This window comes from Homo sapiens, chromosome 17 (genome assembly GCF_000001405.40).
Source record: "Homo sapiens chromosome 17, GRCh38.p14 Primary Assembly".
Taxonomy (NCBI): domain Eukaryota; kingdom Metazoa; phylum Chordata; class Mammalia; order Primates; family Hominidae; genus Homo; species Homo sapiens.
The window spans coordinates 43,727,063-43,741,648 of record NC_000017.11 but is presented as its reverse complement, the minus strand read 5'-3'; the positions used below and the strand labels follow the sequence as shown (position 1 = coordinate 43,741,648).

General features: G+C 46.2%; 1 annotated feature.

Moving 5' to 3' along the window:
* Positions 6,837-7,486: an enhancer, noted in NCBI's record as "H3K27ac hESC enhancer chr17:41811531-41812180 (GRCh37/hg19 assembly coordinates)". NCBI's record gives its function as "activates a minimal SCP1, AML or CMV promoter by ChIP-STARR-seq in primed H9 embryonic stem cells {active_cell/tissue: H9 hESC(primed)}" and the evidence as "EXISTENCE:reporter gene assay evidence [ECO:0000049][PMID:30033119]".

Below are 14,586 nucleotides of genomic sequence, written 5' to 3'. Positions count from 1 at the left end.
GGTGGACAGGTCTGCAGGCAGCTGTAGCTCAGCAAGCCCAGCTGGCCAGAACACGGGCCAGACAGGGAGCCAGCAGCCCGAGAGGTGGATTGGCCAGGCATATCTCTGCCTCAGTGTCATCACGGCACATGACCGTGACAACCCCCTGAGAGTCAGGATGCTGCTTCACTTTTATTTTCCAAATCTCATGCAAGCTCCTCTTTTGACCAACTCTACCCTAGACCCCTCTGGAGAAGGGGTTTCTGGGAAGTATTATTCCCAGATTAGCCAAATGGACAAAACACAAACCAGCAGGAAGACCAGCCCCACTCATCTCTCTGGCCTCCTCCCCTCTACTCCCTACCTGTGCCCAGGCCCTAAACTGTTTACAGCTCCCCATTGTGCCTCTGCCCATGCTATGTCCTCAATTTGGGATACCTCTGCTCTCTTCTTTAGCTAGTCAATGCTACTGAGCCCTCAGGATCTGGCCCCAGAGACTCATTCCCTGAGACATCTTCCCTCTCTGAGAACTCCCCTCTCCTCTGTGCTCCCCAAGAACTGGGTACAAACCCACATTGCAACTCCTGTTACCCACCGAGTCTTCCTCCTCGCCAGGGCTAGGAATCTCTTGGGAAGGAGGACTGTGTCTGTGCTGGCCAGCCTCCCAGCAGCTAGTGCTGGGAAGGCAGGGTTCTCAAGGAGGGCGCAATGCCCTCCTGGCATGGAAACCACTAAACCACCGGTGCAGTGTGCTTCAGAATCACGTAGGGAACGTGTTACACATTCAGATTCCCAGTCCTCACCTCCCCGAGATTTTGATTTGGTAGTTCTGGAGCTAGACTCAGGAACCTGCATTTTTCTTTTTTTTAAATTGGGCAGCCTCTAGAGCCAGAGTAGGCTCAGAGACTCCCAGGAACCAGCATTTTTTAGCAAACACTGTGAGTAATTCATGAGCAATTTGTCTACCACATCAGGCTGACTCTGACAGAGCTGAATCTTTTTTTATTTTTTTAAGAGTTTAAGTCTAACTCTTTTCATTTTTTTTAACCTTAGTTTCTAGTTAGATTAGAAGGTCTGTCTCTTTTATAGATAAAAGCTCTATTAAGTCCTTATAGGTCTTATTCTGCTTTTATTGGAGGCCCTGAAGCCCAGACTATGGGATTTAAAAGTCTCTGAAGGGTGACAGAGAGGACCAGAGAGAAGGCAGTAGAGTCGAGGCATGGAGCTTGCCGAGGGCCTGGCCGGGACAGAGAGGCCCAGCAACGCCTTGGCCCCAAGAAAATCTTCTTGTCTTTCTGGAATGCCGAGAAGCCCTGAGGAGGTCCTGGGTGGGAAGAGCTAAGCCATAGTAGGTGTGCTGAGGCCCATGGGAGGGGACTCAGCATGTGCCTCAGTAGCCCGTGACGCAGGACCTCCCACGCGGGTCTCCTGAGGAGCTGGAGAGAAGCAGATTATTCCTCCAACATATCAGTGAGGGCACCTTGGGCCCAACTGGCTGGGGAGGTGGGGATGTGTGGGGTGGGGACAGGATGACAGCAGAGGAGCTGGCACTAGGACAGGAGCCACAGCAGGCTGGGTACCACAGAGTGGGGCCTTGCCAGTTTCGACATCTGCCCCCAGTCCCTGCCTGGTCACCCAAGGAATGTGGCTTTAGATTTGTGGCTCGGGACCCCAGGAGAGGGAGAGGGAGCCTCTCAGCCTGTCTAGATCTTCTTGGCCAGGTGGTGGGAGGTGGCTTCTCCCAGGGGCCCCGGGGGCTGCTGGATGAGACGCTGACTCAGTTATCTTCTGAGTTGAGCCATTGTTTTATTTAAAAATACAGAGCAAATAAACCCACAATATCACTCCACCCCATGGACACAAGCACTACTTATATTTAGGTGTATCCCCTTCCAGTCTTGTTTCCTCTGTGTATGTGTGTGTGTGTGTGTGTGTGTGTGTGTGCAGGCACATGCATGTGTTTGTTTGTACCATAGGTCCATAAAGTTCTGTATTCTGTATGACACCATTAGCATTTTCTATGTTGCCACAGAGTCTTTGTGACCATCATTCCCAAAGGCTGCCTGGTCTACTGAGATGATGGGCCATAGTTTCCTTAAGGATCCTTTGTTGTCTTCTGACCCACACAATGACACTAAGTTTTACCTGGGGCCAGACTCCCGCTCCCTGAAGTCAGCCCTGTTCAAACCCCAAATCTTGGCCCTCTCAATCCAGTCCTTCACTCCCTGACCTCTTCCTGCATTCTTCTGCCTGCTCCAGACTTTTTGATTTACCTCCCAATTTATGTATCACACTCACCACCCCCCTAGATCTGACAGCTTAGATAATGCCTTCTTGAATACTGGAAAAACCTGAATTGCCATCAGTTTTTGAGGTTCCTAATATACTATAAAATGTAAATATGCCTAAAGAGGGTTATAAAGATTGTCAGCTATTTTAGGCTGGGTGTGGTGGCTCACACCTGTAATCCCAGCACTTTGGGAGGCCAAGGGGGGTGGATTTCTTGAGCCCAAGAGTTCAGGACCAACCTTGGCAACATGGTAAAATCCCACCTCTACCCAAAATACAAATATTAGCCAATCTCTTAACCCAGTCTCAAAACAAATAAATAGATTAAAATTAAAAATAAAAGATTGTCAGCTATTTCAGTGTTTACACTGAACAAATTAATATTCCTTTCACCAGTAATGTGGTATAACATTGTTATGAACCCCCAAGAAATGTACAAATAAGGTACCACACGTGATACCAACTCTCCAGATGTGGAGACAAGGTCAAGGCCAAATGACAAATGTTCTCTTTGGGTCTTGTCAGAGTCACTCTCTGAGACTAAATATGCAATTGCACTTGAAGAAAAAAATAGCAGAAGTCTAAATTTGAGACCCATTGAGACCTGAGCCAATGGCTTTCCATACTCCCCTTGTGTCTGCACCCAATTAAAAACAAAATAAAACAGGTTATCCTGGCTGCTTCTCTAGAACTGTCCCTTGGCCTACCTTGTCAGGCTGAGCCTGGCACCTGTCCTCAGATCTGATGCCTTGTTGCCTGGAGTGCCTCCCCCACCCACTCAACCCTAGCTCCTGGGATCCTGCCTTGGGTCAGCCCCCTTGGCTGGTACCAGAGGTGTTTGGAACATTGGATGGCTTCTAATGTTTTCACTATCGTAAATGTGGTGGATGGGATTCTCTGGTTCTGTCAGCTCCTTTTCCCTCTCTATGCTCATCCTTACTGAGGAGGGAACATTTTAAGCTCACCCCTACTGAGGAGGGAGCCTTTTAACCTCATAAATCATTAGAGTGATACATCAAGAATCCACTCTAAGCAGAGAAGTGGATTATCTCAAGGCCCCTCCACTCAGAAGATGGGAGGATGTGGAGCAGGTGGTTCTATTTGCCTTGAGCACAAGGGCCACAGGGAGCAATCCAGATTTGCTGGCTACTGACCAAAGGGGATGAAGCTCCTTTTCTAAGAGAAGAAGGTTAGACAAGGAAGGAGATGAGAGAGATCAAGGGAAACAGAGATTACTGGGCATCATGGAAGCTGTTTTCTGGAAGGCAACCCAGTGGGAAGGGTGGGGACGCTCTGCATCATGAATGAGTGGAGGTGATACTTGCTGGCAGTAGATTCAGCTTTTATCCATTTCTGGCCACGGAAGGGCAGAATGTGGCCATGAATGACTTTGCTCAAATACATTTTTCTCTACTTAGGATTATTTCTTTTCCCCAAGGGGGCACATTTCTATGGCTCTTCTCATATATTGCTGGATTGGTTTCTAGAAGATGGGTATCACTTTACAATAGGGCAAGAGAGGATCCCATTTTTGGCACATATAAGTATGCAATAAGTAAGTGATTAATAGCAAGCAGAACAGAAAATCCCCAGGCTGTGGGGCAGTGGTGCTGTTGCTGGAGGGAGAACATCCAGATCTTTAACCTCTGGGGCCACTTCAAATACACTTGCCCAGGATTTAAGCATCATTAGTAGATGTTGCTGAGCCAAATCGATAAATGGATATGGCAAAGGCTGTGTAGATTTTAGAGCAGGGCAGATGGGATGCAATTCTCAGGAATCCTACAAGGCCTAGATGTAACAGTGTGATCCTCAGGGCAGGACTTAATTCAGGACCCTGCCATCAGAAGTGAAATGAAGCACTAATATATCCCACGACATGGATGAACCTTGAAAGCATGCTAAGTAAAGAAGCCAGACCAAAAGACCACATATTATATGACTCCACTTATATGAAGATTCCTGCAGCCTCTACGCTCCACCACTGATAACTCCCTCCAGATTCAAATTCCTGTGGGCCTGCCTGCTCTAGCTGGGGCCGGGATGGGAGGTACCAGAACCCCACAACTGACACCCCCAACAGGGCTGTCAGGAGAGAGGTAATTTGCTCAAAGAAAAATTTAGATGGAGGCAAAAGCCACAGCTCTCCACTAACCACGCTGCTAAAACTTTGGGGGCTGCTATGCACCAGAACTAGTTGAAACCATAGAGCCACAGGCCAAATCTGGCCCACGGCTTATTACTTTACAGCCCATGAAGGAAGAATGGTTTTTGTTGGTGTTGTAGTTTTGAGACAGAGTTTTGCTCTTGTTGCCCAGGCTGGAGTGCAATGGCGCAATCTCAGCTCACTGCAACCTCCACCTCCCGCGTTCAAATGATTCTCCTGCCTCAGCTCCCAAGTAGCTGGGATTACAGGCATGCACCACCACGCCCAGCTAATTTTGTATTTTTAGTAGAAACGGGGTTTCTCCATGTTGGTCAGGCTGGTCTCAGACTCCCTGCATCAGGTGATCCGCCCGCCTCGGCCTCCCAAAGTGCTGGGATTACAGGCATGAGCCACTGCGCTGGCCGGAAGAATGGTTTTTACAGATGAATATCTGCAATTGATTTGATGACAGGGAACACCAACTTTGAATCCCAATTAAGTAAAATGTTGCCCTCCCAACCCTGCAAAAAACAAAACAAAGCAAAAAACAAACAAACAAACAAAAAAACCAAACACATTCTTCTCATTAGTAAAACTGCATTACAAAAAACTGTTCCTGGCAGGACTCAAGTGACTCATGCCTATAATCCCAGCACTTTGGGAAGCTGAAGTGGGAGGATCGCATGAGCCCAGGAGTTTGAGACCAGCCTGGGCGACACAGGGAGACCTCATCTTTACAAAAAATGTAAAAAGTAGCCAGTGTGCTGGTGCATGCCTGTAGCTCCAAGTTACTTGGGAGGATCACTTGAGCCCAGGAGGTCAAGGCTGCAGTGAGCTATGCATTCAAGCCTGGGAGACAGAGTGAGACCATGTCTCAAAAAACCAAAAACCAACAAACAGAAACAACCCTGTTACCAATTATTATTATTATATTTTTCAATTTGTCAATAAAAATGTTTGGAAATTTGTTTACAGTCTTATCAAGTAAGTGCTTACCTAACATCCTCAGTTTTGACTCTTGGCCTGCAAACCCCAATATTTACTATCTAGCTGTTTACTGCCCCTTACTCTAGGGCAGTGCCTCTCAAATTGTGGTGATCATAGAATCACCTGGAGAGCTGTTAAAACAGATTGCTGGGCCGTAGTCCCAGATACTCTAATTCAGTAGGTTAAACATAGAGTTTACTATATGACACGTCAATTCCACTCCTAGGTATATACCCAAGAGATTTGGAAATATGTCAGTACAAAAACTTGCACATGAATGTTCATAGCAGCATTATTCATAATAGCCAAAAATTGGAAACAATCCAATATCCATCAATTGATGAATGGATATACACATTATTGTATATCCATATGAGGTAGGAAGTGAGACTCGACTCCAGAGATGAAGTCAGACACCAAACTGCGGACTAGCTAAAACAAGGAAGGGGCAGAACCAGCTTTCCATAAGATATGCCCACCAGTGAGCCATGTCAGTTTACCATTGCCATGACAACACCTGGGAGTTACCACTCCTTTCCATGGCAATGACCCGCTGACCCAAAAGTGACTACCCCTTCCCTAGAAATTTCTGCATAAACCACCCCTTAATCCATATGTAATTAAAAGTGGTATAAATATGACTGCAAAATACCCTGAGCTGCTACTCTTTGCCTATGGGGTAGCCCTGTTCTGCAGGAGCAGTCACAGAGCTGTAACCACTGCTGCTTCAATAAAGCTGTCTTCTACCTCTGGCTTGCCCTTGAATTCCTTCCTGGGCAAAGCCAAAAATCCTCATGGACTAAGTCCCAATTTGGGGTTCATCTGCCCTGCATCACATACAATAGAGTATTATGCAATTCTGAAGTGAAATGAAGTACTGATATATCGCACGACATGGATGAACCTTGAAAACATGCTAAGTGAAAGAAGCCAGACCAAAAGGCCACATATTATATGACTCCACTTATATGAAATGTCCAGAATAGGCAAGTACATAGAGATGGAAGAGAGATTAGTTGTTGTCAGGGAATGTAAGACAGTGGAAGTGGAGAGTAACTGCTAATGAGGACGAAGTTTCTTTTTTCTGTCATGAAAATGTTCTGGAAGTAGTGGTGATGGTTGTACAGTCTTTTGAATATACTAAAACCACTGAATTGTACACTTTAAAATGGTAAATTTTACGGTATGTGAATTATATCTCAATGAGAAAATAAATAAATAAGACACACAACCCATGACATTGGACGCAATCTGGAACTAGTTCTCAGAAAATGATTTTGCTTGATGCATAATATATATTAAAGAAAAAAGATTGCTACTTCTTTGAGGGCAATTAAATTTTTTCGCTAGCATCTCTCTACATTTTCTTTCTCATCAAAGTCAATGAGAAAACAGAATTCCTGAAAAGAAACTTTGCTACTAACAATTAAGACCTAAAACTATCAGTAAGTTAAGGACACGACAATGGGGCTCTTGGAATCAATGACAGACTCGGACCGGCTGTTTTAACTGACTTATCATGAAATGAATGATGACAGAAACAATACAATGGAAATTATTTTTCATGGAAAGAATTCATGGCACCCTTTGTGTTTGTGACTGGAATGACCACGGATGTGGTTCAGTCTGAATGTGTATCTGCAGCCACAAAACAGATTTGAGCTTTTGTCTTGCAAAATCCATCTGAACATATTGGCTGCATTCGCTCAGCCCAGAGATTAAGTCATCATCTTGGGCAGGGTTTCAGTGAAGGCTAAATCAGATCCAGGGAGAGAGAGAGCAGGCAGTGCCGGTGCCTATCTTGCAGGGGATGCCCCAGAAAGGCTGAAATACAATGCCCCAGTGGCTAGCTGTTGCTGGAAAGAAGCAAGCTGGAGGGCACAGAAGGTTTAAAAAAGGGGGCTCCTGAATGTCACTGGGTTCCCCAAACCTCCAAGAGGAAGCTGTACCCAGATTCTACTGCCATCCTCTTACGGTGGAAAGCAAAGGCTTGGGCTGTGTATCCCTCCAGGACTCCTCCATGAGCCCTAGTGTCTGCAGAGGGTGTGGTCCAGGAAGAAGCAACTGACCTTCTGCTTCCAGAAGTGAGGATTTCCTGTAGCTCCTAGGCCTGGCCTGCCCTGGGATGGCTCCAACCCTACCAATATATGTGAGTTCCTTTATAGCTGCTGTTTATTTTTGAAAGGAAGCATCTTTGGTGACCAGCATCACATGTCAAAGTTGAGAGTGCATGACCAAAAGATCCTGTGACTCAGGGAGAGCTCTAGATAGCCTTTATCTCTGCCCAATTATTCTTCCAGAATCTCAGTTAGTGATCCTGTCATTCATCTTCTCATAAACCTTCTATGGCTCCCCACCACCAACCAAATTAAATCCAAGTCTGGAAACAGGCATTCATGAATCCAGCTCTGCAATACAGCAGTATATACTTTTGCAGTGTCAACTACCTGGAGCTGGAGTTAGTACAGACTCCACAGGTTAAGGACATAGTCTTCAACAAGACTGCCCTCACTTCAGAGACCCCACATAATATGGGGTCCCCAGGCTACCTGCATTTCTGATCAACTGGCTACAAATTTGGGGGTTCCCACAACCCCTCATATTTGACAATTTGCTACAATGACTCACATAACTCAGCAAAGTGCTATACTTACCATTACACTTTTATTATAAAGGGTACAAATCAGGACCAGCCAAATGAAGAGATCCATAGGGTGAGGTCTGGGAGGATCCCAAACACAGAGCTTCCATATCTTCTCCCCATGGAGTCAGGATGTATCACCCTCCTAGCACACTGGTGTTCACCCACCAGGAGGCTCAATTGAGCCTTGAGGTCCAGAGTTTTTATTGGTGTTTCATCACGAGGCATGATTGATCAAATAATTGGCCATGTGATTGAACTCAATCTCTAACCTCCCTGGAAGTCAGGCTGATATAATCTGGCTCAAAACCCCAACCCTCTAATCATTTGGTTGGTTCCTAATGGCTAGTCCCCATCTTGAAACTATCTAGGGGCCCACCATGAGTCACCTTGTTAGTATAAACTCAGGCATGGTCCCAGTGGCTCACTATGAATAACAAAGACATTCCTATCACTTGGGAAATTCCAAGGGTTTAGAAGCTACCTCTCAGAAACCCAAGACAACTGGAGAAATTATTATGCAACAAATGCCAGCCTATCTTCACCACAGTGTGCCCCATGACCCCTTTTCTATGCTCTTGGCTTAGGTCAGGCAGAGCAGCTTGCGGCTCTCCATGTGGACCTGGAGATTTTTCACCTCGCTTCCTTTGCTTGCACTGATCCCTTTGTCTGGAATTGCCTCCATGAGGGTACCCATCCTTCGTGTAGATATAACTGTCCTCATTTTAGATGAGAAAGTTGAGGACTAGAAGATGAAGTCACTTTTCAAAGACAATTGGATCTATATGATAAAACCAGGCCATAAATCCAGGCCTATCTGAAGCCCCAACCTGTGTGATCCCACTTCCCCGTGGGCAGTAGGATTGGCTGATATTATTGAAATCCCTTAAAGATCATTCTGTAATTATTCTCCCATGAAAAAATGGCTTAAAGGGGGCAAAACTTGCCATCACTAACAATGCCACCTTGGGGAAGCTAAACTCCCAAATTAACAGATACCCTCAACTGCAAGTAATAGAAAGGCCCACAAAAAGACCCTTAGACCAGGAGCTGGCAAACTTTTTCTGCAAAGGGCCAAGGGCCAGAGAGTAAATATTTGAGGCTTTGCAGGCCATAAGGTCTCTGTCGTGACTATGCATCCCTGCCATTGTAGCACTAAACAATATGTAGACAATACATAAACAAATGGGCATGGCTGTATTCCAATAAAACTTTATTTACAAAATCAAGCAGTGGGCCAGACTTGGCTCCTGGGTCATAGTTTGCCAACCCTTGTCTTAAACCAGGAGGACATTTATTCACCATATAACAAGAAGTCTAGAAATAGGGTGGATCCAGGTGAGCTACTCAGGCAGCTCAGCAGCATCTTCAGATCCTAGGTTCCTTCCTGTTATTTGCAGATGACAACATCCAGAAACAGAAAAGTTCATGCCTCCTTGGTCAGAATAGTTCACAGGCTAATCCCTGGCTAATGGGAAAGGAGTTATCCAGATTGCCTTAGACAAATGGTCTCATCCCTGGCTGCAACATTAGAATCACCTGAGAGCTTTTAAGAAACACCTGGGCCCAGCTGGGCACAGTGGCTCACACCTGTAATCCCAGCACTTTGGGAGGCGGAGGTGGGAGGATAATGAGGTCAGGAGATTGAGACCATCCTGGCTAACAAGGTGAAACTCCATCTCTACTAAAAATACAGAAAATTAGCCAGGCGTGGTGGTACGCACCTGTAGTCCCAGCTACTTGGGAGGCTGAAGCAGGAGAATCTCTTGAACCTGGGAGGTGGAGGTTGCAGTGAGCTGAGATTGTGCCACTGCACTCCACCCTGGCGACAGAGAGAGACTCCGTCTCAAAAAAAAAAAAAAAAGAAAAGAAAAGAAAAGAAAAGAAACACCTGGGCCCCTACCAGAGTTTTGCATTTAATGGTTATGAGGTGGGGCCTTGTCATTGATATTTTTTAAAACCATTCATAGCTGGAAAGGAAAGGCATTGGCAGACCAGTCAAAACTCACTGCACGCAAAGGCCAATTCATGATCACCATCAAAAAAGTATTTTAGCAAGGAGGAAGAAGGGTCTATTAGTCCATTTTCACACTGCTAATAAAGACATACCTGACATTGGGCAATTTACAAAAGAAAGAGGTTTAATTGGACTTACAGTTCCATGTGATTAGGGAAGCCTCATAATCATGGCAGAAAGCAAGGAGGAGCAAGTCCCGTCTTACATGGATGGCAGCAGGCAAAGTGAGAATGAGGAAGACGCTAAAGTGGAAACCCCTGATAAAACCATAAGATCTCGTGAGACTTATTCACTATCACGAGAACAGTATGGGGGAAACTGCCCCCACGATTCAATTATCTCCCACCAGGTCCCTCCCACAACACATGGGAATTATGGCAGCACAATTCAAAATGAGATTTGGGTGCAGACACAGAGCCAAACCATATCAAAGGGCTAAGGCTGAAGGGCCACATCTCAATGTGATGCTTTTCACTTGCAAAATGGAAATCAAGGTAGGACCTACTTCAAAAGTCCCTGCAAAATTTAAATGAAGCAGCATGCCTGGTACAGTGCCTGGAAAAAATAAGCACTCACTGCATTAGCAGTTGATTGCTCTTAATCATTATGAAGTCCTCCTAGATGTCTTATGTACATTTTAGAGAATGTACCAATTGAATGATGTTGGTTTTTTATGGGATTTGAACCCCAGCCTTTCCTCAGCTATCTGGAAAACTGGGAGTGGCAGGTATTTAAAAAAAAATACAAGTGACTCACCACAACACTTCCCTCCCAAATATTTCATGTAAGAACACAGCACAGAGATCAATTGATCTCTACTCTCTCCTGAAAAGCATCATGGCACAAACACTTTCCTGAGGGCCGTTTAGAAGCCTCACTCTTCCTTAGTCATAGAAGAAGACTTTCTCCCCCGTTCCGCTCTGGGCCATCTTCTCCCCGTTTCCCCATCTATTTCTAGCCACTTTTCAAAGCAAAGTGGGAAATCTCTCTTAATGCTCCTTTTCTTCCTTCTACTAGTTTTCTATGGCTGCTGCAACAAATTACCACAAACTTAGAGCCTTAAAGCAACACAAATTTATGACCTTACAGCTCTAAAGGTCACAAGTGTAAGATGGGTCTCATGGGGCTAAAATCCAGGTTCCAGCAGGGCTGTGCTCCTATCTGGAGAGACCACATATCCTCGCCTTTTGCGGATCCGAGAAGTGGCCTGCATTCCTCGGCTTGTGACCCCTTCCATCTTCTCTCATGGCACTCCCTTGACTCACCCTTCTACCCCTATCTTCCACATCTAAGGACCCTTAAATGTGATGACACTGGGTTCCCCCAATCCACCTGGATTAATCTGGATAATCCAGAATGATCTTCACATGTCAGGATTCTTAACGTAATCATACCTGCAAAGTCCCTTTTGCCACATAAGGTAAGATAAGGTAACGTTCAAAAGTTCCAGGGATGTGGATGCGAACATCTGGGGACCATTATTCTGTCTACCACATTTTGTGATCTCTAATGCTCCCCATTCCTCTCCAGCCTCTCGTTCCTCCTTTTCACCTATGGGGCTCTGTTTGTCCTCTCCCATTTGCCGTCCTGCAAGATCCAGATGGCCTTTCCTGAAATAGAGGCACGAGTGTCCTGGCATGTGGGGCTCTTGGGAGGTTTAGATTAATGTTTATGAGTGCTTAGAACAGTGTCTGGGGCACAGTAGGGCTACAAAAGTGGTTGTTAGCTGCCACTGTTGCCATTAACGTGCTCACAGGCCTGCCCTCCTTGGGAATGGGACTTCTACTGGCCTTCCTAAAGGGTGCCTACTTTTTTTTAAGCTTGAACAATTCAAAAACAGCCAGTAACTTGGAACAGCTTTCTAGAAACTATCAACCATGGCTGGGCGTGGTGGCTCACACCTGTAATCCCAGCACTTTGGGAGGCCGAGACAGGCGGATCACCTGAGGTCAGGAGTTCGAGACCAGCCTGGCCATCATGGCGAAATCCCATCTCTACTAAAAATACAAAAATTAGCTGGTCATGGTGGCGCACGCCTGTAATCCCAGCTACTCAGGAGGCTGAGGCAGGAGAATTGCTTGAACCCGGGAGGTGGAGGTTGTGGTGAGGTGAGATGGCCCCACTGTACTCCAGCCTGGGCCGCAGAGCGAGACTCCATCTCAAAAAAAAAAGAAAGAGAGAAACTTTATCAACCAGTGTTTCTTCAAGTGTCCACCCACATCAGCATCTCCTGGGGTGCTTTTAAAAGCACATTTGACTTTAGTTCTGCCCTCTAAAGTTTGTGAACCTCAGTCTGGAACTCCAGCATTTGGGGGTTTATAATTTGCAACCAGAACAAAAAAGAAAAGCCCCATCCCACTGCCTCACTCAGCCCCTCTGCTGCTAACAACACACTCACTGCAGGGCCAGGGGCTGAAGTCTCCCTTGAAGGATGTTCGGCAAGGCTGGGGCCTTCCTCAGGGACCCGCCATTGAATGCCAGCGAAGGCCTTGTCCCAAGAACAGGGGTTGAAGGCAGGAAATGGATGGGAGGGAGGTAGACAGTGACTATCTGACCAATGGCATTTATCCTTTTGGAGGTCCCTGACCCTCTCAAGAACCTGGTGAAAGCCAAAGGTCTCTTCTCATACCTGGGCACCAGGTATGGGCAGCTGGCCCGATGACTACTGAGAGGAAAAGAGGAAGCTGGAGCTCCCGGCCAGACCATGGTCCAACCTGTAGCTCTGCTGGCCTTAGTATGAGCAGAGGATGCAAAAGCCAGAAAGAGGCCCAACTGTCAAAGCTTCAGGACACGCGAAGTAGAGCTTCGTGTGAGCTCAGCTCCCACCCTGGGACTCCTCAGTTGGTGTTAAGGAAACTTCTAAGCCCTAGAACCTGCAAAGACCCCAGGCCCTGCTGTTTAATGAATGGAAAGAATCTTCTTCCCTCCTTTTGAGGCATTCCAGGCCTTTCCAGAGCCCACCCGATACTTAAATAAGCACCCCACGGGGATGGTGTGTATCCAGAACTAAAATAAACTTAAATAATATCCCAGAAAATTATAAATTATGTATTTAGGAATCGGAATGTGCGAGGCAGGGTTTTCTCTTCCTCTATTATAGCTTTCATGAAAGGGAGACAAATAATAAAGCTCCCCCGGGCTAAAGTTAGAGTCGACATATAGTTTACACCAGAAAATATACACTTAGGTATCCATTTTGAATGCATGTACTTCCAGTGCAAAATCCTCTCAGTGACCACAAGCTCCTTAAAGCCAAAGCCAAGAGCAGGGAGGTCTCTGTGTGGTCCAAATGCTCAGGAAGGAAGGAAAGTAGCATCTATTGAACGTTTACCACCCACCTGGCACATAACTCACGCCCTCTTACAACGTCCTCAAAACTACACTGTGAAATTTTTTTTTTTTTTTTTTTAGGCAGAGTCTCACTCACTCTGCACTCACCCAGGCTGAGTGCAGTGATGCGATCTCGGCTCACTGCAACCTCCGCCTCCCAAGTTCAAGCAATTCTCTGCCTCAGCCTCCCGAGTAACTGGGACTACAGACATGCCACACCATGCCCGGCTAATTTTTTGTATTTTTTTTAGTAGAAATGAGGTTTCACCACATGGGCCAGGCTGGTCTCGAACTCCTGACCTCAGGTGATCCATCCCCACTTTGGCCTCCCAAATGCTAGGATTACAGGCATGACCCACCACGCCCGGCGAAATCAATTTTATTAGCTCCATTGTTCAGGTAGGGGAAAATGAAACTTGGAATGGACAAGTAACTTGCCCAGCATTGTGGGGAACAATACCATGAGCCTGAAACCAATTTCCCTAATGATTTATTTGCCTAGTCACCTATTTCATCTTTTAGCATCCTAGTTTTCCCTAATCTTTTGGGTATTTGAAGAACTCTATTAAAAGCTAATCTAAAGATATATATTTTTGGCAGAGTACGGTGGCTCATGCCTGTAATCCTAGCACTTTGGGAGGCCGAGGCAGGCGGATCGCTTGAGTTCTGGAGTTCCAGACCAGCCTGGCCAACATGGTGAAACCCCGTCTCTACTCAAAATACAAAAATTAGCCAGGTGTGTTAGCAGGTGCCTGTAATCCCAGCTACTCAGGAGGCTGAGGCAGGAGAATCGCTTGAACCCAGGAGGCAGAAGTTGCAGTGAGCTCAGATCATGCCAATGCACTCCAGCCTGGGCAACAAAGCAAGACTGTCTCAAAAAAAAAAAAAAAAAAAAAACCCACAGATGCCCGGGCTTCGCCCCAGACCAAATGAACCCAAATCCCTCAGGGTGGGGCCAAGCATCAGCGTTTTCACCTATTCTCCAGGTGCTTCCACACCCCAAGGTCTGAAGCCCACTTCTCTATGACATCTCTTGGAGGCGGGTTGTCTGCATGTCTTGTCTCACCTCCCAATGCCCCTCCACTGGCCCCTGGGGACTCAGAATCAAGGAGGGGTTTAGGAGTCCCAGTCACTGCCTCTGGATGGTTACCATACCTCTTGCCTTCTATTTCTGCCCTCATTATAGAGATGGTGAGT